At 43.0% G+C, this 23,983-nt stretch overlaps 2 protein-coding genes across 5 annotated transcripts in view, besides 1 other annotated feature; both read right to left on the bottom strand.

Moving 5' to 3' along the window:
* Positions 1 to 5,870, bottom strand: part of NOX5 (NADPH oxidase 5) — a 48,068-nt gene extending 42,198 nt beyond the window's left edge. For both annotated transcript variants that reach the window (NM_024505.4, NM_001184779.2), the window contains exon 1: positions 5,780 to 5,870. In NM_024505.4, coding sequence (NP_078781.3) covers positions 5,780 to 5,829 — 50 coding nt within the window. In that variant the 5' untranslated portion in view covers positions 5,830 to 5,870. The remainder of the gene's footprint in view (positions 1 to 5,779) is intronic.
* Positions 1 to 23,983, bottom strand: part of SPESP1-NOX5 (SPESP1-NOX5 readthrough) — a 132,238-nt gene that overhangs the window by 42,198 nt on the left and 66,057 nt on the right. The gene's annotated exons all lie outside the window — the stretch shown is intronic.
* Positions 4,262 to 4,763: an enhancer, noted in NCBI's record as "H3K4me1 hESC enhancer chr15:69308141-69308642 (GRCh37/hg19 assembly coordinates)". NCBI's record gives its function as "activates a minimal SCP1, AML or CMV promoter by ChIP-STARR-seq in naive and primed H9 embryonic stem cells {active_cell/tissue: H9 hESC(naive and primed)}" and the evidence as "EXISTENCE:reporter gene assay evidence [ECO:0000049][PMID:30033119]".

Here is a 23,983-nt window from a genome sequence, read left to right as displayed (position 1 = left end):
AAAAAATTGTATTTATAATTGTTATTAAAAGTTGGATAATTAAATAAATGCTTTTGGCAAAATGTCTACACAGAATAAAATAATTAGATAACTACAGTATACTATTTTATTTACATTTTCTGATCAAATTATAAATGCCTAAATGTAAAAATAAATAAAATAATGAGAATTAGCAGAAATTATAGGAAATTTGTATCATCTTTAAGTAGGGGCACAAGATAGGGATCCCAAAAACATTAAGGAAAATGATCTGTAGATCTGCATATGTAAAAATTAATTTCTGCATGACAGAAGACAACAAATTCAAAAGGCAATAGGCTGAAGGAAAATATTTGCAATAAGCATGATGGAATGGTCACACCTGTTATAAAATAACAACAACTAAAAGGGCAACAATAACAGTAAATGCTTTTATTAGGTATTGATAAATTGCAGCTGTGTTAGTGTTCTTTTAACATAGAAGTCCTATAGGTTTGACAGAAGCAAAAACAAACAAACAGAAACCAGCAATGGAAAGTAGCAAAAGATATAAAAGGACAATTCATAAGAGAGAACTTATATTGGTTGATAAACATTTGAAAAGATGTTCAATTCACTTCTCATGCCTGGGGAAATGGGATTTATAACAATTATATCTTTTGTAGTTGGGGGAAGTGGTATCAGAATGCCAAAAATCAAAAGATTGGTAATATCCAATATAAACAGTGCTGGTGAGAACATGAATTGTACTATCTTTCAGGCAATTCAATTTTTAGGAATGTATCCTACAAAAATAAAAGTGTTACTGCATAATGGCCCATATCCATCATCCACCACTGTGTACTAGATTGCCATTCAAAACAGCTAAGCCCGCCCACGTTATCTATAATAGGTGTGAATTGATTTGAATAAATACAGTAGCACTGTGTGGAAGGGAATCATCAGGCTGTCAGCACTGGTCCTTAAAGAGGCAGGACTGGAGGGGAGAAAGAGGATTTCAGTTCTGTATTGCTTTACGCCTCAGTATGATTGATCTGATGGTATCCATGAGCATACACCATTCTTGTGATAATCTTTGAAAACTCTTCATTTTGAGATAATTATGGATTCACATACAGGTATGAGCCATAATGTAGAGATTTCTTTATTCCGTTTCTCCCAATTGTAATATCTCACAAAATTGTAGTACAATATCACAAAGAGGATACTGACATTGATAGAGTCAAGATACAGAACTTTCCACCACAAGACTCTCTCAAGTTGCCGGTTCACAGCCACACCTACATCCCTCCCTGCCCCCTTCCATGGCAGGTGGGCAGTGGGCAAAGTCCTGACTCTCCACTGGGCCTCCTCTGACCATCCCAGTCGGGAGGAGGAGGGAGTACCTCGTTACTGCCGGGTATGACAATTAAAAAGCAAGCAAGGCCGGGGGTGGTGGCTCATGCCTGTAATCCTAATACACTGGGAGGCTGAGGCAGGAGGACTGCTTGAGTTAAGGAGTTTGAGACCAGCCTGCGCAACATAGTGAAACCTCATCTCTACAAAAATTTAAAAAATTAGCCAGGCATGATAGCATGCACCTGTGATCCCAGCTACTCTAGCAGCTGAGGTGGGAGGATGGCTTGAGCCTAGAAGGTCGAAGCTAAAGTGAACTTTAATCACACCATTGCACTCCAGCCTGGGCAACAGAGAACCCATCCCTTATAACATAATAAAATATAAAATAGAATAGAATAGAGCAAACAAAAAATCCCTCTCCATCCCCTGACCTTTAATCCTGTGCCATCAGTGAGCTCTGGCCCGGGATGTGGCTCCCCAGGGCAGCTTCTCCAAAAGGTGATATCAAGGGTGTTACTGGCCTCTTATCCCCCAGCAAATTAATACCTTAGTAAAACAAACATTTTACACGGCACAACCTCATCCCAGAACACACCTGTGAGGCAAGTGGCTCAACAGGTACAGCCCACTGATCAGATGAGAATCCGCCCTCTGAAGCACGGTTCCCAGCTTTGGGCGTCCAGTAACACAAAAGAGTCTTGTGGGGGTGGGGGTGGGGGTGGTCCTCACTTGGTGGGAGAGGTGCACTGTCAGCATCTCCCTAGGTTGTGTCCCAGCTAACTGTAATTCCCTATCAGAGCAGCGTTTTCTAGGTTAAAATAAGGGCTTATGGAGACCAAGCTTTCATCATTCAGGTAAAGCCTCCACGTAGCAGGCTTCAAAGACAACAGAGTGTAAATGTTTCTTATCAGACTTAAAGAGTCTGTTGCTGGCTCACACCAACTCCGCCAGCTGCCTCTCACCTGCCTGAGCAAGTACCCGGTCCCCAGGCCTGGCCCTGCAGCCTCCTTGCCCATTCTCCCTGCCAATCCCTAGGAATCCCACCTGCTGCTTGTTCCTCTTTCTCTGAAACCCAAATGGGAGTTGGAGTTTCCCTAGGATGCCTGAGCAACCGGCGCCTCTGGGGCTCCATGAGTGCGGTCCGGTCCATGGACCGCCCACAATTGCATCATCTCAAGAGTTGAAAGTGCACATTCTCTGCAGCCCCAGATCTTCAGGACCAGAAGCTCTGAGGTTTGGGCCCTGGGAGTGTGAATTCTAGCAAGCATTCTCAGAGCCGCTGGTATTACTGAGTGAAAAGAAACCCTCAGACAGCACTTCCATGGTTTTCTAAAGTGCCTCGTGCCTGCTGGGTGATCCTGTGCCAGTTATTTGACCTCTGTTTCTCTGTTTGACCTCTTTATAGGCATGTGTCTTATGCTATATATGTGTGGCATGTATTTGAGTGTGTGTGTGTGTGTGTGTGTGTGTGTATAAAATATATCAACAAAGAGTCAAACTATAAAATACTTGAAGATACTTACTCTGAGCCAAATACGAGTGACCAATGGCCTGTGACACAGCCCTCAAGCTATCCTGAGAACATATACCCAAGGCTGTTGGGTCACAACTTGGTTTTGTACATTTTAGCAAGACATAAAACATCAATCAATACATGTAAGTTGTACATTGGTTCTGTCCGGAAAGGTGGGACAGCTGGAAGCAGGGGCTTCCGGGTCGTAGGTAGATTCAAAGATTTTTCTGATTGGCAATTGGTTAAAAGAATTAAGTTTTTGTCTAAAGACTTAGGAACGTCTGGCCGGCCGCAGTGGCTCATGCCTGTAATCCCAGTACTTTGGGGGGCCGAGGCAGATGGATCACTTGAGGTCAGGAGTTCGAGACCAGCCTGTTCAACATGGCAAAACCCCATTTCTACTAAAAATACAAAAATTAGCCTGGTGTGGTGGCATGCACCTGTAATCCCAACTACTTGGGAGGCTGAGGCATGAGAACTGCTTGAGCCCAGGAGGTGGAGGTTGTAGTGAGCCAAGATCACGCCACTGCACTCCAGCCTGGGTGACAGAGTGAGGCTCTGTCTCAGAAAATAAATAAATAAATAAATAAATAAATACTTAGAAATTTCTATGTTAAAATAAGGGGTTATGGAGACCAAGGTTTCGTCATTCAGGTAAAGCCTCCAGGTAGCAGGCTTCAAAGACAATAGAGTATAAATGTTTCTCATCAGACTTAAAGGGTCTGTTCTATCAGTAATCCCACAAGGGAGGAGAGTATAATGAGGCATGTCTGGTCCCTCCTTCCCATGATGGCCTGAACTAGTTTTTCAGGCTAACTTTGGAATGCCCTTTGCTGAGAGGAGGGGTCCATTCAGATGGCTGAGGGGATTAGATTTTTATTTTTGGTTTACAAATATATGTTTTAGTGTGTGTATGTATGTATGTATATATATATATGCATATGTCATATATGCTTTAGTGTGTGTGTGTATGTGTGTGTGTGCATGCATGCTTCAGTTTCCTCATTTATTAAAAGCGTTAGTGATAGCTCACCTTGCAGAGTTGTGACAGGGCATAGGATGTCTGTCTAGCACATGATGATTAGGTATGTACACCTTTCTCTTCTCTTTTTCATGCCTATTAACTCACGTCACTTTCCAAGTCAGCAAGTCCTAGATGGATTCCCATTTCCCACAGGGAGCACAGACAGATGTCCTCTCAGGGCCCCTGCATTGACTTGGGGCAGAGCCAGGCCTAAGTCCCAGGCTTCAGACTCCTCAGGTTCTTCTTGCGGACCACCTGTCTAGGTTCTCACTCTCTCCTCGCCTATAAATGTGTGGTCCTAGTAAGTCACTGGAGCTGCAGGCAGCAAGGAGGGTGCTCCAGGCAGCCCCTGCCAGAGGCCAGTCCAAAGCTCCCAGGGCCCAACTCACTGTGGAGGAGGGGGGTGAGATGAGGCATGGAGAGAACCTGTAGCTGGGAGTGTCAAGGGCCAGGGCAATGCCCCCACCCAGCCTCCCACTGAGATAGGCCAGCTCCTGCACGCTCCCAAGGCAGGGGCTCCAGGCCCTCCAGTGTGCCAGCCACTTTATTTAGTATATTGGCCCCTTCTGTCTTTGGTGCAGCCCAGTGAGGTAGGTATTATTACTATCCCTGTGTACCAGAAGCAGCCCACAGCTGGAAAAGAGGAAGAGAGCTTCGCATCAGACCTTCTCATCCCTCGTGGCTTCAACATCAGCCAAGGAGCCTCTTTTAAGAGCTTCCTAGGTTTTTTCACACCAGCCCCAGAGAACCACTGTCCTGGGCCCAGCCCCACACACTTCTCCCCACCCCCGACCCAACAATGACTCTGCTTCGACCTTCACTGATGGGCGTTCACTGCCTGTGCAGACTCCAAGCTTCGAGTGCCTGCTTCTCATGTCCCTGAGCTGAAGCCGCCTTCCCATCACTGCCCCCCCAAAGACATTCACACCTCCCACTGACTTATAGCCACCCTTTGGTGGTTTCAAGGCAGCCCTCCACGGCCCAAAAGAGCACTCACCTAATGACTAGTGGTTCCCAAACTGCAATATGTTCTTGCCAGAAACATGAGAGTTTGTAAAAATGTGCATTCTGACTCGCCAACCTTGGTGGGGAGGAGGCAGGAATCTGCACATTTCACCTGCACCCCGGATCTTGTGACCCACGCATGGGTGACCCACCCATGCACCTGGAGAAATGCTGCCCTAGGGGTTAAACAGCCTCCACTTTCTTCATCTCTCGGGACCCTCGGGAAGGCATTCCACAAAGCAGAGAGAATTCTGGAAAAAGGGCTGCATGCAAGTGCTAACGCAGGGAAGGCAGGGAGGAGGTATCTGCTGTTCACCTCCCACTTTTCAGAAACAAGATCAGTGTGGTGGGCCTGTGCAAGGGGAGAGGTAACTCTGGGAAGGGGCTGAGAAGAGACTGGGACAGCCAGAGTGATCTAGGTGGTGAGGGAATAGGGTGGGAAGGAAGGTAACACTGTAGGTAGCAGGAAGGAGCGGGAATCTTCAGATTTCAGAGCTCAAGGGGAACAATGTGCTCACCAGAGGCCAGAATTTACCCCAGGAGACCAGGATTTTAGGTCCAGCCTTGCTTTGCACCAGCTGAATGACCAGCCCACAAGCATCTCTCCAACAAAGGGCTATGAGGACCAAATGAGATGCTGTTTGGAAAAGTACAACTGGAAAGCATTGTACAAATGCTGGGTATTGCTATTACACTGACTTGGCCAGTTCTTTATTTTACAGATGAGAAAACAGACCCAGAGAGGGCTGGTGACTTATCCAAGATTGCCCAGCTTGCTAGTAGCAAGGCAAGAATAGAGCTCAGATCTTCTGATTTCTGCCCAAGGCAGACACAGTTACCTTTTGTAGATCCCACAAAGGCAAATAATCCCACCTTTCCCTTGTCCCTGGCATGGAAAGCTGGACAAATGAGCCACTCACCCTCTACAGCCTTCAGGGCCCGTCTGGGCTGGGTCTCCAGATGTGTTCATCTTCTCCTGTCTTCTAGATCACAGGTCCCAGAAAGACTGCTGTCCATTGAGCTGCCTGCACTGTGTAGCCACCCCCCTGACTCCTCCTCTTCCTGACTCCTAAAGACCTGCTCACACCCACAGTCCCTCATAAAACTGGTGGCTGAGTTGGTCTAGAAAAATCCCAACCAGGAAGCATGGAATGCAATGGGGCAAGAGTTTTATTAGGAAGGATGAGCTGTCTTCCATCTGGCCCAGTATCTTCTCTTTCCTTTCCTCAAAAATACTATGGTGAAGCTAGGTTATCTAGGAACATACTGTGAAAAAAATCACCAACAACTCCAGGCAGGCCCTGCTTATAAGTCAAGCAAGACTTCGCCAATAACAATAATATCAATTATCAACAAAAATGTTTAAGCACTTACTCTGAGCCATGCACTGTGCTAAGAACTTTGCACGTATTGCTCAGTTTAATTCGTAACACAGCCCTATCTGGTGGGTGTTGGCATCATTCTATTGATTAGGGAAGTGAAACAGAGAGGTGAAGTAATGTGTCCAGTGGGCTCAGCACAAATTTTACAACTACATTGGGCTGACTGTGGAGATTGTATAGTTAACCACCCATGGAGCTATACTCAGTCTCAACATATTGTGTACAACTATATTGAAACAGTCACCTGCAGAGGTTCCTAGCCCATAGAGCCTAGGGAAAAAAGTGGGACCTGCAAGCTATTTTGTTTTAAACTTAAGGGAAATTGTATAATTACTTAGGTAATACTGCTCTGCGATTAAAATTCAAAGTGTTTATACTTTTTGTTTTGCCTGGAAAGAGATCAGCTTTGGCTGATAACCCTGGCCATCTGGTGCAGATTGGGATGTCCTAGTGGTGATTTTAGATGTCTCTGGTTAATTTCCAAAATCAGGGAAATGATTAGTTATCATTATGGTTTTGTTTTAAAGCAGAGTGCTACAAGAAATTTCTCCCAGTATGTGGCTCATGGTGGGGGTACCCTAAAGGGATCCTTTGGTGCTGGCCATGTCAAGTCTTCTGAACCAGCAGGGGCTCACTGGAAGCCTCTTTGCTGTCACTCACATATTTTTCTACCCACAGATTCAGCCAGTTCTCATTTGTTTGGGGCCAGTCCCAAGACAAGTTCTACAGAATTTCAGTGATCTTTTGGTAATCTCTGGAAATGGGGTGCTCCCATGCCTGGAGAGCAGCAATTTTGGAGGCTACTTTGACTGTTTCAATAGTTTTCCTGGCAAAGTAAAGAGAGAAATACAAACACATTTCATTAAATCAGTTCAGGAATAATATGTAGGAAACAGAAAATTCTTTTGAGGAAATAAGCCAAGCAGTAAATATGAATTATACTTTCAAGTTATGGCCAGTTAAGGGAAAAAAGCAAGAATGAGAAGATGTGAGACAGAGCTGCCGGTACCCACTGTAATTGTAACTATCTGTGTGTGTCTCTTTCTGTCCCTCTGGACTGTGAGCCCCTAAAGGCAAGATCTGTGCCTCATTAGTTTTGAATCCCAGGAAACTAGCACAGTGCTCACTATATCATGGGCATTCCATGTATGTTTGTGGAATGAATAAACCTGCCTCAATTCAACAAATACTTAGGAAACACTATATCCAGGCCCTGATTGTATACACAGAGACAAGTAAGATAATCCAGCATGGTAAATGAAGATACAGAAGTGTGTTGTGAGACAGCATTGGGAAGGGAGAACCGAGGAGACTTCCCAGTGAAAGTGACTGATCTGTAGTGGGTTTTAGAACATGAGTAGGAGTTTGCCAGGTGGAAACGGAAAAGGACATTCTGGGCAGCTAGAAGATCGTGTAGAAAGGCATGAAATGAGAATGCATTCTGTGTCCTGGGAACTATAAGCAGTTCAGGTAATGACCTGGAGACGCACACATTTGAAAGCAGAACTGGAGCAGGGAGCAGGAGTCAGGTCATGACAAATTTGGCAGGAAGAGAGCTAAAGGCCTAGGATTACCTAGGAGCTAGGAAGCCAGTAAGCAATGCTAAGCAATGGAGCAACACATCAATACTTGCCAAAGTTCTGACAACAATCTAGTTCATATCCTAGTATCTGGACAAAATGCAAGTTTTTAAAGGGAAGTAATAAACATGAAAAAAAATTTTTTTTTTTTTTGAGACGAAGTCTCACTCTGTTGCCCAGGCTGGAGTGCAGTGGCATGATCTTGGCTTACTGCAACCTCCGTGTCCTGGACTCAAGTGATTTTCCTGCCTCAGCCTCCCTAGTAGCTGGGATTACAGGCATGCACCACCAGGCCCAGCCAATTTTTGTATTTTTAGTACAGGTGGGGTTTCACCATGTTGGGCAGACTGGTCTCGAACTCCTGACCTCAAGTGATACACCTGCTTCAGCCTCCCAAAGTGCTGGGACTACAGGTGTAAGCCACCGCACCTCGCCAGAAAATGTATTTTTAAAAGCGTCTTTTTTCTAACAAAACTTTTGGAAGGAGAGATTTTTTTCTCTCAATGACACTTTTTTATAATTACACAAATTATAAACATTAATTATTAGGCCAAGGTTTGTGGATCACTTGAGCTCAGGAATTCGAGACCAGCCTGGGCAACATGGCGAAAACCCATCTCCACCAAAAATACAAAAACATTAGCTGGGTGTGGTGGTGTGCACCTATAGTCCCAGCTACTCAGGAGGCTGAGATGGGAGGATCGCTTGAGCCCAGGAGGCAGAGGCTGCAGTGAGCCAAGATCACACCACTGCACTCCAGCCTGGGTGACAGAGTGAGACCCCATCTTGATTTTAAAAAATAATAATTATTATTATTTAAAAATTAGAAAAAAAGCCTAAAAGCACAAAAAAAGAGTAAAAATCGGTGTAATCCACTTGCCCAGATTAAAATCACTGCTAAAATGGAATGTTTGTTTATTTCCAGTTGCATGCAGAAGGTAGCCCAGCGTGGGATTCAGAGTGGGGTTGTGTCTGACAAGCTCACTTGCCTGAGCTAGTTTGCCTTGTTGAGGCCGATTTGCCACTAAGGAGGAAGTTGGATTGGGGGGCTTCAGATAGTTCCTGGGGAACAAGGGAGAGTGTGAGTCTCTTCTCCAGCTTTGCCCTGGAACTCTGATCTGAGACCCTGAAGAAAGAAGGTGGGGGGCTCTCCCTAATTTTGCAGGGAATTTGGTGTGGTTCTGGTATTATTTGGTTATTCAGGGGTCGTGAATTTTGGAGGCCCAGGGGAGAGCCCCTGCACTGGGAGGTGCTTTCCAAAGAGACACAAACTATGGGACAATGGAAGAAGAGATCCCCTCCAAAGGCTGTCAGAGTGACTGGATGTGAGTGGCCGGCTTGTGAGTGCCTGTGAGGTGCCTACCCAGGAAATAGCTGGGGAGAACTGACAGTTGGCTGAGGGAGCCTGAGACCCTGCAGTCAGCCAAAGGGGTACATCCATGCTAATGTCCCTTCCTTCACACCCACAAGCTGGAGCCAGAAAAGTAAGAAGTGGTCACTCGGGACTTCTGGTTGAGATGCATCAAGTTTACTCTGAGTTCACCCTTTGAGACCTCCCCATCTGTGCCATACACAAAGCGATGAGAGATAAAGTCTTTTTTTTTTTTTCAGATGGAGTTTGGCTCTTGTTGCCCAGGCTGGAGTGCAGTGGTGTGATCTCGACTCACTGCAACCTCCACTTCTGGGGTTCAAACGACCCTCCTGCCTCAGTCTCCCGAGTAGCTGGGATTACAGGTGCCTGCCACCACTCTCAGCTAATTCTTTGAATTTTTAGTAGAGATGGGGTTTCATCATATTGGCCAGGCTGGTCTCTAACTCCTGACCTCAGGTGATCCACCTGCCTTGGCCTCCCAAAGTGCTGGGATTACAGGTGTGAGCCACCGCGCCCGGTTTAAAAGACTGCCTGCTCTTGAAAAACAGATAAACATCTCTATTGACCAGAGATAAGGCAGAAATATGCAATGGCAAGTGAAACTGAAGCTACAGTTCTGCGCAGCTCCAAGTCCAGAGGCAAGTAGAGGCTGCTGCAGGTGAAGGGATGTGAACCCCTCATCTGAGGGTGCAGCTTGTGGCTGCAGTGAGTGCCAAGAATGAAGTACTCAGACAATTCCAGCTGAGCAGGGCGGGGAGCAGCTCCTCTGAGAGAGTGCCGCTCCAAGGTCTGTCCACCGAATATTTATTGAGAGAGCTTGTTTAAACTACAATTCAAACAAAAGGCATCCACCAGGCGGCTCTTTGCAGTTGGGCCATGAGGCACATATGGCCTTGGAAATACACATAGACCATAGTCTCAGGAGGCTGTTTTCAGCGCTCCTTACTACACATTCCTTTCCTTGCCCTGTTTTCAGGGTCAAGGAGTTTCAGTCGCATGCACAAACAACATGCACACAGTGCCTCGGTACTTTTCCATTCCTCGACCTCAAATGCCTTGTACATAAGCTTGAATATATTGCCATGCACCCTCCACAGAGGGGACCCTGCCTATGGCAGAGCACTGAAAAGAGCTAGGACTGGCCATTGTTGGGACAATGATTTATATCTTGTATCTAGGAGAGAAGAAGAAATTCACAAAGCCTGATAGTGAAGAAGTAGACTAGGCCAACTGCTCCTTGGTGATTGGACCCACAATAGCCTCAGGATTTCCATGGACAGGAGCCTTGAGACACCAATACAAAGCCAGAATTGAACTAGGGAGCCCAGGAAGTGGGGTGAAAGCTACCGCAAAACTTTTAGATGAGGACTGAACACTAACATGCACATGCCTCCACACACACATGCACGCATGCATACCCACACATGCACTCACACAATTACCATTCAAGGTGAACCAGTAAGCTGGCATTCCAAAAGATCTGAAAAAGAATATCAAGAATGCTAAGAAAGACAGCCAATCAAACCAAAAATAGGGAGAAGAACTCATACTTTAAGAAGTGAAAATCATAGACTTTAAGCATGTTTAGAATCCTCAAAAAAGAAAGGAAAGAAAAACATGCATTAAAAAAATAATAAGAACTTATAAGATGGGCAGCACTGAAGTGAAACAGCCAGTCACGAAAAGATATTGTATGATTCCAATTACATGAGGTACCTGGAGGAGTCAAATTCATAGACACAGAAAGTAGAATGGTGCTTACCAGAGGCCGAGGGAAGAGGGGAATGGGGAGTTACGGCTTAATCATACAGTTTCAGTTTTGCAAGACGAAAAAAGTTCTGAAGATAGATGGTAGTGATGGTTGCACAATGTATTAATACAACAAAACCAGGAAGTATTAACTTTCTGAAGCCTTTTGACATAGCCAAATAGCTTTCCAAGAATTCTGAAACAGCTGAAGGTGAAAAAAAAAAGAAACTATTCTGGCCGGGTGCAGTAGCTCATGCCTGTAATCCCAGCACTTTGGGAGGCTGAGGCAGGTGGATCACCTGAGGTCAGGAGTTTGAGACCAGCCTGGCCAACATGGTGAAACCCCATCTCTACTAAAAATACAAAAATTAGCCAGGCATGGTGGCATATGCCTGTAATCCCAGCTACTCGGGAGGCTGAGGCAGGAGAACTGCTTGAACCTGGGAAGCGGAAGTTGCAGTGAACCAAGATTGTGTCACTGCACTCCAGCCTGGGAGACAGAGCAAGACTCTGGCTCAGAAAAAAGCTATTCTGAATAAAGTGTTTATAAACGATATGTGCACAGGTGTAAAGTAGGCTCACTTCTTTTCCCGATCTATCCATGCTGAGTCCAGGGATAGAGAATGATTTCTATGCCCTATTTCTTAATGGACTCCACCCTAAACTCAGTAATTTTAGCTAACAACAGCTAAGTTTAAAAGATCACCTATTGAACTAAAATACATATTTCTGGCATTTAACTGGCTATCTGTAAACACTTTTATAGGAGAAATTTAAATCTATGAAGGAAATTTCCATTTGTAAAGGTGTCTGAGAGGGAGGCCTGGGTCACTAGAAACTGTTACCATTGTTTGAAATTTACATGACAGGTCTTTGTTACGGCGCCTATCCTGGCCATCTTGTCTTAACTGGGCCTTTACATGCAACCTTTTTTCCTTGGTTTAAGCAAATGATGGTACAATATTTAGGCCCAAACAGAGCTAAGAACAGGTCTTAGCTCTATTCTTTTGAGATATACATTTTCTACCTTGTTTAACCTGTTGAGTCATCTTTTTAAAAGGCAAATTGTTGCATAGCTAACAATTGCTTAGGGCAATAAAACAAGTAATTAAAAGATTAACAGTCTAAATGGGGACAAAAACTAAAAGCTGGCAAGTAAGAATTACTTATAAAAACTATAAGATCTGCTTCTGTTTGTGTTTGTATGACTATATGTCACTATGTGGCATGTGTATATGATAATATTTGATAAATAAAGCTAGATTTTAAATGTTAGTAAAATAGAAATGGCTCCAAAATTATCAGTTAAATATAATTCAGACATTTTTGCCTGGGTTTACTGGTCAGACAGGCTTATGCTGCCTTTGTTACATGTTTTAAGGTCATAATACTACTGCTTCTGTAATATTTTTGATATTTGTTTGATTTGACTTTGAGCTTATATTTTGAGTTTTAAACACCTGGATTCTGAATAGGTCATCATGGTGAGGCCTGTTTATATATAAAGTTTTGGAGCCACAAAAGGAATAGCACTCAAATATAAAATTTTCTTTTTAATTCTCAGCAAGGCAAGGTACTTCTATATAGAAAGGTGCGCCCTTACAGATGGAAAAATGGTGAGTGCACACTCAGACAAGGGAGGGGAAGGGGTTCTTATCCCTGATGCACATGACCCCTGCTGCTGTGTTGTTCCCCTATTGGCTAGGGTTAGACTGCACAGGCTAAACTAATTCCGATTGGCTAATTTAAAGAGAATGATGGGGTGAGTGCTTTGGCAGGAGTCAGGGCAGAGCAGGTAGCAGATAATCAGAATGAGTTAGGGTGGAGCAGGTGATTGGAATGAGTCAGGGTGGAGTAGGTGATTGAAAAAGATTGCTTTATGAGGAAGTTAAGTTTAAAAGTAGAAGGCAAAGAATTTAACATATTGACATATTAATTCTCTGAAAAGAAATTTAGAACTCATATCTAACAGGCCTGGGAACATGTTCTCAGTGCCTAGACTAGCAGCTATGAGGCAGAATCAAGCCTAATATGGCCCCTTCTTCTCTGCCCCAGCTTTACCTCCTGGCTATTCTGAGAGGGGTTTGATCCTCCAGGCACCATCTTCACAGCAATGTCTTCTGTCTTGAACTCTATACCTGGCATATAAATTCAGGACTCAGGCCCTCCTCTTTATAGCCATCCTGGGTGCTGTGTAGCTACTTGAGACCCAGGATGACTAAAAAAGACATTAGGGAGGGTACCTGTGTTATAGTTCCAAAATTACTTTCAAAAACTTAAAATATTAAATTATATTATGTTAGATAATAGATCATTATAAAGTATCTGAGTCATTTTAAGGTTAAAATACCAAAATATTAATTAAACATAAGTTTATATACTTTGGCATCTTATTTTTATATGGTATTAAAAAGCTAAATATATTTAAATGTAATAAAGAGTAATTTGAAGAAACACCTTTCTAAAAAATTATAAAATGGTTTTCATCTACAAATACTGATATAAGACAGTTCAAAATTACTTCCTAGAATTTTCACTAGAAATTAGGGTTACTAAGAGTTAAAATTATTGAAAATATATGTAATCAGAACCACTAGATATGAGAAAAACAATTTTTTATACAGAGTGTATAAACAACAGAAAGACGTGGTTTTGATAAAAAGTTATAAAGGCATAAAATATATTTGTTAAAACAATAATATTTTCTGGTTTAAAAGTTACTTAAAAGTTGTTTCAAATTTAAAAAATAGATAACACTAGCTAATGCAAAGAATTGAGAAGAGAAAATATTTTAAAAATCATAAGAGATTATAAAAGGTTTATAAAAATCTGTTGTGGTCAAAAGCTAACTAAGATTAGATAGATTTATTTATAAGGTTTATTAAAATTAACTTTAGTGTTAATAATACATAAATACAAAAGTAAAATTCAGTTTTCTCTTTTAAACAAAAATTTCATGTAGTATTAATAAGTCACAGTAAAATATTTTTGTTCACCTTTTTTATAAACTGAAAAAAAGAGAGGGAGAGTGGAGAGAAGAAAAGAAATATTCTGACTCATGCTGTTTTTCTTTGATTGGAAAACTGAGTCTCCTCTCTATTAAAAAGTTTTTGCTTTGTAAAATCTTTGAATTATCACTTTGGCTAAATAAATAACTATTATTTAATAGTGACCTGTGATCCTATTTTGATTGTTTTAAACCTTTTATATATTTGATAGATTTCCCAAATCAAATTTAAAATTTAAAATTAAGTATTTTTTTGGCCTCAAACTAACTTTGTGATGCTACAGAGAGCCCCCGCAGCATCCAACAAAGAGATAAACAGGATTAATTAGTATATTAAATTCCAGGGGAGGCATTGTCAAATAAGAAATGATGTTTAACCTTCTTCAAAATAGATTTTTATAAATATGTTATTAATATATGTTACAAAATTGTATGGGATTCCTAAAAATCTGATATATCTGGGTATATTCTATCACTTATAATTATGGTTATATTAAATTATTGTAGGTATAAAAAGTAAAAAATTTCCTCTTCAAAGTTCCCCTTCTTGTTAAAGAATAAATCATAAGTGTTAGAAACAATAGTTTCTTTTAAAGATTAACTTTCTTCAAGCCTCCTTGCTTTGTGCTAATAACTCTTTGTTAAGCCCTATCCTATGTAACTGTTGGACATGCTCACAGGCACATTCAAGCTCACAGCCTATGCCCCTTCCTTATATGGAAATGTTACTGCTTCCTTAAACCTTTTGTAAGCAACTTCTTTGCTCTTCCTTGCACTTACCTATTTAGGAAAGTTTTAGGCTATTAGCAAATCGGGTATCAGTTTAAGACTGTGAGGTCCCGCTCTAGCCAATGGATGCAGGACAAAGCAGTAAGGACAACCCAAATGCATAAGGGATAAATATGTCTGCTTTTCCTTTGTTCAAGTGTGCTCTTGCCATTTTTCCATCTGTGATTAAGCAACGTTTCTGCAGAAAGTAAAGATGGCCTTGCTGAGAGATCTTTGGTCTCTGTGCTGACTTTTCTTTGTGGCACCGATTATCTATTTCTAACAATTTTGGTATTTCTAACAGTAGGTCACAAAAATGACCAAATTTCTTTGTCTATTGTATCTTTCACTATGACCATTTTAAATCACTTTTATAGTTAATTGCTTAATTCTGATGCAGTTTCTGTAAACTCTTCACAAGCAAAGTAAAATCCTAGATCATTGTGTCTTCAAGGAGGTTCATAAAAAGGATGAGAAGGACACTGAAAAGCACTCTTAAATACTGGTTTTTGGTCATTTTAGGATCATATCATTTGGACTGGGTAAGAATTCCCAGAACTCCAAGAAAGGAGCTGGCTTATAAAACTGCTAATGCAAGCAGGACAAGAATTAATTGAATACCAAGAAAACACTCTTCCAGATTTTCATGTTAAATCAACCAGTACTAAAGTTTAGATATGCAATTTAAATAAACTCCATGGTCCAAGCCAAATTACTTATGATAACTCATCTAATAAACAGTGCTATGCACCTAAATTGTAGAAACAAAATTGGTATTTAAGAGGATATAAGTCTAACATTAAGCATGGACTAATGGAGAGCCTGGACAGCTGCCTGGTCCTTCCTGAGTCCCTAAAGCTTCCATTATTAAAAGTTCTGCATTCCATGACTCATCACGGAAGAGACAAAATAATCCAAATGAAACATATATGTATATATATATTTACCTGATTGGCCATTTAAACATTTATAGAGGGATTTCATTCATCAGTTTCAATGCATGTTTTCTGGTTATGTAAAAGCTTTCCTATGCAAGAGGGATGATATATAAACAGTAGCTAAAAGGTTATTAGGAAATGTGTTTTCCTTATGGGGTATTCCTGGACAAATCTCCAGTGATAGAGGTACTTGCTTTACTGAACAAGTTGTATAATAGTTAAATAAGGTATTACTGACACAATAGCATTAGGCAAAGCCAACTGAATTGACTGGATTGCCTTGGTCAAAAGTATTGTGGATTCATGACAATCAGATCCACTTCCAGTGGAATAGTCACTGTAATGCCTATGCACCTAGTAATAGAATTTCATGTATCTTCTGCTACTAAACTCTGATATGACTAAATGCTGCAAGGCTTTATTACATTGTGCCAAAGTGTATTTTCACCAGATAAAAGAAGCTTTTCATGGTCCTCAGAAAACATGGACAATCAAACCATTCACAATCTCACTCACTCTCTAACTCCTCAGCTTGTCTCTTTATTTAATCTTTATGTTAAAGATTGGATCTTTCATAGAGAGATTGGATCTTCTGAAAAATGACATCAGAGAAAGACTGCCCTACCCACACTGCAAAAAAACTCAGGACCTTAACCTTTGGGTTCATAGTTTCACAGCTCAGAAGGGCCTGTCCAGACTCTTGGAACTATACACCCATTGAAGACATTAAGATAAAGCTAACCAGCTTCTCACTAGAAGCAGATAGCATCCTAGACGTCAACAGCCTTTTCCCAAGATCATGGATCAAGGCTTCTCTGCTATCACAAGACTATCGTCTCTCATTTTTTTCCTTGCTTATCTCTCTATGAACAACAGAACTAAAAAGGGGATCTCTTGTGTTCACTCATGGGGTATACTTTTCTTTGCAAGGGATTTTACGATAGCCTTATGCCCTGGTAGACAGAAGACAAAGGGCCAATGTGGGTAAACAAATTTTAATGATACTTTGGTGATTCATAGTCAGAAACAGAACACTGATCCACTCCTCTTAACCTACATCATGGGTTAAAGAGAACATTGCCAGCATAGGTTAAAGAGAACATTGTTTGGAGGCCTTCACTCTTCTAGATGGACAAGACTTGTTAAGTCTCTTTTTCCATGGTTTGGAGTAAATGAGACAATAATTCAAAATTTCTCCCTCGTAAATAGGCTCTATAGCATATTCTGCTATAAAGCCTATGGTTACACAGTAGACTTTAAATTCTCTTGCTAAAGTTGTGCTGAATAATAGACTCACTCTAGATTACCTCCTTGCTAAACAGAAAAGTATCACTTTAGATTACCTCCTTGCTAAACAGAAAAGTATCTGTGCAGTTGCTGATACTTCTTGTTACACATGGAGGAATACATCAAGTATTATGGAAATTCAATTGTAAGGGATTAATGAAAAGGCTGCTTGGTTAAAACAAGTAGACTCTTTATCTAGCTTGTTATTTAATCTATTTAATTTTAGTTGGTTTCATTCATGGAGACCCTGGTTACGGAGCACATTCTAAACTCTTGATATTATCCTCTTGATAGTCATAATGGTAACCTCCCTGGTGCACTGTATTCTCTCAAAAGTTTTAAATGTTTGCATACAGCCATCTGTAAAGATTCAAATTATCTCTCTTCAACTGGACCAACAAAAATTCAAATAAATGTGTTATCATAAGGACACCGTAATCTATAAATAATGTGCTGAGACCAAAAACCCAAAATGGTGATACCTGAGAGTGGTGTTAAAGACCTGTTAGTTATACTCTCACTTAATTGAGAACTTAACCAAAGGGAGGCCATTCTTTCGAATTGATTTTGTGAACTAGGCCCCAGCTGACAAGACCAAAACAAAATGGAGTCATTCATGCTAAATGCAAAATAATCAAACTGAAACTTTAATACATCCTAAAACAGATCAAATTTTGTTTTTCTCCAGTAAATAGGAGATTCCAGCACAAGGAAGTGTCCTCTACTCTAATCCTTACTCGCCTTAGAGAACACACTGTTCTGATTATTTCCCAGTGGGATTTGAGACGAAGTAAATACATTTATGATGGCAACGAAGTGATATCAATGCCTGAAATTTTGGTCAATGTCTCAATTTTGTGGGGGGAATTGTTAAGTTTAGCCTAAAGCTGCCTCCTTACCTATTTTAAGTTTGGCCCTAAAGGTTTCTCCATACATAGTAAACTGCAACCTAACTGAATGTGTGAACAAACTATAACCTATTCTTGGCCAATGGCCAACTATAACCGAGTTTCAGCCAATCAAAGGTGGCTAACTGTTCAAATTTTGTTCAAGAAAAGCAAACCCCCAGTTATAACCAATCCAGCTGTTTCCGTACCTCATTTCTGTTTTCTGAACCTCATGCTCTTTATTCTGTCTATAAGTCTTCAACCACACAGCAGCGCCAGAGTCTCTCTAGTTGTATTCTGGCCCTGGGGCTGCCTAATTCACGAATTGTTCTTTGCTCAATTAAGCTCTGTTAAATTTAATTCATCTAAGGCTTTCTTTTAACAAATAGTTGCTGGGCTATAGTAGCCACACAATTGCTATTAGGTGAATGAAGTGGGCTAGCTGCAGCAGCACCCTACAGAGGATGCCCCCACTCCAGTCAACTGCTTACAATGCCCCTGTCCAGTTCTAAGGAGCAATCAGGAGAGGTGCTTCCACTCCCAGGCTGCTAACTCACTGCATGATCTGGGCAAGGTCACCTTCTCTCTACAGGACCCAGTACTTCGTCTGCTCAATGGAGATTTTCTTCCTTTGCTCCCTGCCTCGGGACACTGTGTAAGAGCAGACATAGGGATATATAGACATGTGTTTTTTGTTTGTTTGTTTTTGAGATGGAATCTCACTCTGTCACCCAGACTGGAGTGCAATGACATGATCTCAGCTCACTGCAACCTCCACCTCCCAGGTACAAACAATTCTCCTGCCTCAGCCTCTCAAGTAGCTGGGATTACAGGCGTGTACCACCATGCCCAGCTAACTTTCGAATTTTTAGTAGGGATGGGGTTTCACCATGTTGGCCAGGCTGCTCTCAAACTCCTCTCCTCAAGTGATGCACCCACCTCAGCCTCCCAAAGTGCTGGGTTTATAGGCGTGAGCCACTGTGCCTGGCCAGCATTTGTTTGTTTCGTTTTGTTTTGTTTTTTAAGCCCAAACAGTTGTCTTTGTCTGAGAGACTCAAAAGGAACTGTTTACTGGCAATTTGCTGAAGAGAATTTTCCTTGTGGAGGTCTGACAACCAGTGTGGCATCCCTTGGGGCCAAAAAAATATGCAGAAGCTCTGTCTTTCTGGAGATGTAACTGGAGTTTATTCTAATGAGATGAAATGTGGCCTACCCCTGCCCCCTCAAATGACCTTCTCGTGGAAATCAGAGCAGGTAAGATTCCCTAAGATCATTCCAGACAAGTTCTATTATTATTTTGAACTTATACACAAGATTTCAGAGGAAATTAAGTTTTCATCAGTTTCTTCTTATCTTGTTTGTTTAAGCCCTGGAAGCCTGGAACATGTCTTCTTTCTCTTGTATCCCCTGAGAGCTTGGCTGGCAGTAGCAGCTCCCTCAGCAGCTACTGCTTTGGTTCCGGTCAGTTTCCTGTTCCCTGGATCACCATCCCTCATCTTGAGGAAAATACGGAGATGGCAAAAATTCTGTCTGCTTTGGGAGGAGGTTCTGCAGGGAGCTCTGGGGTCATGGTGAGCAATCCCCTGAGTAAGAAGACAGCTCTCAGTTGCAAAATGCGTATATGCAAACACATCCCAGGAAATCCCAACCAGACCCCAAGCAGGTAGATATTCTGAGGCTCCATCTGTCAGACAGAGAAACTGGAGACAGAGTGGGTGAGTCACTGAGTCAGCTCACAGAGTGAGCTGAGGGGCCCAGCCTGGACCACAACACTCAGCCCCACTAGCACCTGCTCAGGCTCCCTTCTTCCTATGGCAGAGACACAGCCTCTGTTTGAACTTGCCTTGCTCACTCCCAGAATAGAGCCTTTGCAGCAACTGCCTCTCCTGTGGGATGCCTCTGAGGGTTCTCAGCACTCAAGAGTCAGCTAAAAGCCCACCTCCTCCTGGAGGCCCCTCCTGCTACCTCCAGCCCTGAGTTACAATAAATTCCTGCAGACTTTACTATTTGCAACACAAATGTGACCTGACATGCTGTGCTGTCATCAACATCTTGTGCCCTTGCTCTGTGTGGTAACTTGGTCCTTGGGTCATCATTATACTTTACATGTGTGGTGTGTGTACCTCATCTCCCCAGCTAGCAGGTCAGCTCTAGATAGGCAGGAACCACCTCCACACATTCACAATTTCATTCATGCATTCATTTAAGAAATATTCTCTGCTATTCCAAGGATAAATCAATAATTAAGCAAGACGTGCTTCCAGCCCTCGCAGTGCTTACAATTCTTATTCCCTGCAGGACCCAGCATAACCTGCTTGTAGCCAGCAGGCACGAGTTAACAGGGACAGCCTCTGGCCAACAAGTTCCAGCAGTGTCTGTCTCTTTGATCTGGTCAAAGCCCTGCAAGGACTATTTTTAAGTAGAAAAGCAGGAAGGACCACAGAGACAGAGGCTGTGGAACAGCTTTTGAATGTAATGCATTCGTAGAAAGGAATTCCTTTAGGCCCTGCTCCTGGGATACATCGGGAGCCCCACCCATAAAAGGGTGGAAGAGCCCTTATGCCCAGAATAGACCTCTAAGCTGTAACCAAAAATAAAATTCTGAGGCTCCTCCAACCATCTGAATGGACTTTCTCCTCTGCCAGGGCACTTTCAAAATTTAACCTGAGAGACTGGTTCAAGCTATGATGTGAAGTGGGGGCTCTGACATGGCTTATTACACATCTCTGGCTCCGGCATTAACATTAACATAGACCTGATGTCTGATGAGAAGCATTTATAGTCTATTCTCTCTGAAGCCTGCTCCCTAGAGGCTTCAGCTGCATGATTAAACTTTAGTCTTGGCCAGGCGCAGTGGCTCACACCTGTAATCCCCGCACTTTGGGACGCTGAGGTGGGTGGATCGCCTGAGGTCAGGAGTCCAAGACCAGCCTGGCCAACTTGGTGAAACCCCATCTCTACTAAAAATACAAAAAAATAGCTGGGAATGGTGGCAGGCACCTGTAATCCTAGCTACTCGGGAGGCTGAGGCAGGAGAATTGCTTGAATCTGGGAGGTGGAGGCTGCAGTGAGCCGAGATCGCACCATTGCACTCCAGCCTGGGCAATAAGAATGAGATTTCATCTCAAAAGCAAACAAACATAAAAACACTTTAGTCTCCACAACCTCCTATAGCAACCCAGACATTTCCTTTCTACTGATCCCAGGTCTTTAGATAAACTCAACCAATTGTCAATCAAAAAAATTTAAATCTGCCTATAACCTGAAAGCTCCTCCCCCACCTTCGAGTTGTCCCACCTTTCTAGATGGAACCAATGTATTTTTAAAATGTATTTGATTGAAATCTCATGCCTCCCTAAAATGTATAGCACCAAGCTGCACCGCGACTACCTTGGGCACATGGACATATGGACACATGTTCTCAGGACCTCCTGAGGGCTGTGTCACGGGCCATGCTCACTCATATTTGGCTCAGAATAAATCTTTTCAAATATTTTACAGAATTCAATTCTTTTGGGCGACAAGACTCTCTAGGAGATCGCTTTATGGCACAGATGGGGACACTGAGGCAGAGTGGGTTTGTGGCTGATCTGGTACTAAACTGTTAGCACAGTGCTTTCATCCTGGTACCCACTGAGGCATGAATTCCTGCTGAAGGAGAAGAGCTGTTTTCCCACTTAGCAGCTGGGAGTAACCCTGGCACACAGGAGCATATAGGTGGAGAAAATAAAAGAGCATGAGAGAGAGAAAAATAGAGAGAGAGAGGTTCTGGCCATCTACTCTGCCAGGCGTTGGACCAGGGACTGGGGCAGATGGTGACTAACACGTGGTTCTGACCTTGAGCAACTCAGTGGGACAATGAGCTATTTAGCAAGTATGGTTCATGGCCCCATGATGGGTATGGGACCTGGGAGACAGTGAAATGGACCTCTCTGAGCCTGAGTTCCCTGCAGCCATGGGGGTCCTGTCTGTTCCGCCCACCTGACCACCTGGTTGTGAGGATTAAATGAAATAACATAGGAGGAAGCACCTAGTCCATAACAGACACTCAACTCATTTTCACTCATTCAGAAGGTTGTTTTGGTTCTTCTCAACCACCTCCTTTGTTCCTCAAGTTCCAGTAAAAGAATGCTAATTAGTCTTCTTGAAGCAGAAATAGCTGAGTGTGCATGACCCTAAATGACCCCCCGGGGGTTATTGTTCTGAGGCTCCAGCTCACCCCACCACCCACAGAATTGACAGCTTTGGCTCATCCCTTAATGCCTGAGGCCAATGTGCTTCCTTTCCTATTTTTCATTTTTCTTATCTCTAAAAAGGGCCTGTTAAGACCTATCCCCATAATGTTGTTAGGCTCCATTGAGACATCACATGTACAGCCCCTAGCAGGTTGCACTGGACACGTGGTAGTTCCTGTCCCCTTCTTTCTCCCTCCTACTGAAGGGGTCCTGCTGCTGACAGCAGGGAATTGTCCTCCATAGAGTGTGGGGCAGAGATCTGAGTTGGGCAGGAGCCTCTCCTCCATGGCTGCCCCTGTGCCCTCATATCCTCCTCCAGCATCCTTAGCACAAGAGTCTCACTTTCTGTTCTGGGTACCAGAGACACACGTGGTGAGGGCACCACCACTCAGCTTGGCACATGTGAGGCACAACAGGCAATGGGTGAGGGCAGCTACTGTGGGAACCCAGATGCAGAAAGAATTCTGTTTCTCTCCTCCTTCCTGCATCCCACCTTTGAGCTTGGAGAAGTCTAGAGACTCCCAGAAAATAGGTCTGAGTACAGATGTGGAGATTCCTTATTCCATTGGCTTCTGAACACTTAAAATTCATTTTCAGTCATGTGGGTAAAATTTTAACTGACCCTCCAAAACATGTGTGTGCAGATATTCTTCTGCAAAAGATCTGGTGGTAGCTTTCATTTCTAGATGGAGAAATGGAGGTGCTTCCCACTGCCCTCCACCGGAGGAGGTAACTGAAGAATGCAAGGCTCAGCTCTGCACCTGAAATATAAGGAGGAAAAAGGCAGGGTGGAGTGCTTTGTGGCTTTGGTGGGGAAAGAATCTTGGGTGACCCAGGAACTCTGTAAACTTATGTCTGAATCCAACTTCCTAAGAATCAGTCCTTGGCGTAAGATGAGTAGCTATAAATCCAGACTTTGTACTGGAAGAAGTAAAAATATGATTACTTTTTGTTTTTAAGAGATGCCAAGAACTATCAGGCCTTGGGAATCTCAGAGGAAGGAAATGTAAGCCTCCACGTCTGTCTCTGGTCCCCACTGTGAGCCAAGGCCTGTGATCCTCACCAAAGCAGAACTGACTTCCCTTTCCCCGCCTTTCCCCAACTTGCCTTGCCTTTCTTTGCTTTTTCCTCTGCTTCCTTCCCTTTCCTTCCTCTAATCATATTATTGGCACCCACAGGAATCACAGCATGAATGACAAGGCCTTCCTTTAGAGCAGCAGTCCCAGCCTGTTCCCAGAACACTGGCTCCACAGGAGAAGCATGGGGCATCTGGTGATTCCGTCCACACTGGCGTATTACAGCCTCCATCTTGACCACTCAAGTCCCAGACAGCTGCCAAAAGAGCATCCTCTCACTAAAGACTCTGAGTTCACCTGGACCTACTCTTTAAATCCTAGAGATGCAGAGGAATTGGGGCCGCTGTAGCTTGGTATAGTTTGGGCAATCTCTGGATAGAGTCAGGTCCTTGGATTTAGCACCAAGTTTTGATAGCTCTCCTCATTTCTTCACCTGGTGAATTCCTACTCAACCTTCAGGTACCACCACAAGCACAAGTGTTCCCTTTTCCAGTCCACTCCTCCCCAAGAGAGCTAATTTAGTTCTCTCCTCTAGTTCTCACTACACTGTACTTTTACTCTTTTTTTTTTTTTTTTTTGAGACAAAGTCTCACTCTGTTGCCCAGGCTAGAATGCAGTGGCACAATCTCGGCCCACTGCAACCTCCGCCTCCTGGGTTTAAGTGATTCTCCTGCCTCAGCCTCCCGAGTAGCTGGGCTTACAAGCATGTGCCACCACACCCAGCTAATTTTTGTATTATTAGTAAAGACGGGGTTTCACCATGTTGGTCAGGCTGGTCTTGAACTCCTGACCTCAGGTGATTCACCCGCCTCGGCTTCCCAAAGTGCCGGGATTACAGGCGTG

This window comes from Homo sapiens, chromosome 15 (assembly GCF_000001405.40).
Source record: "Homo sapiens chromosome 15, GRCh38.p14 Primary Assembly".
Taxonomy (NCBI): Eukaryota; Metazoa; Chordata; class Mammalia; order Primates; family Hominidae; genus Homo; species Homo sapiens.
This window is presented reverse-complemented; position numbering and strand designations above follow the sequence as displayed.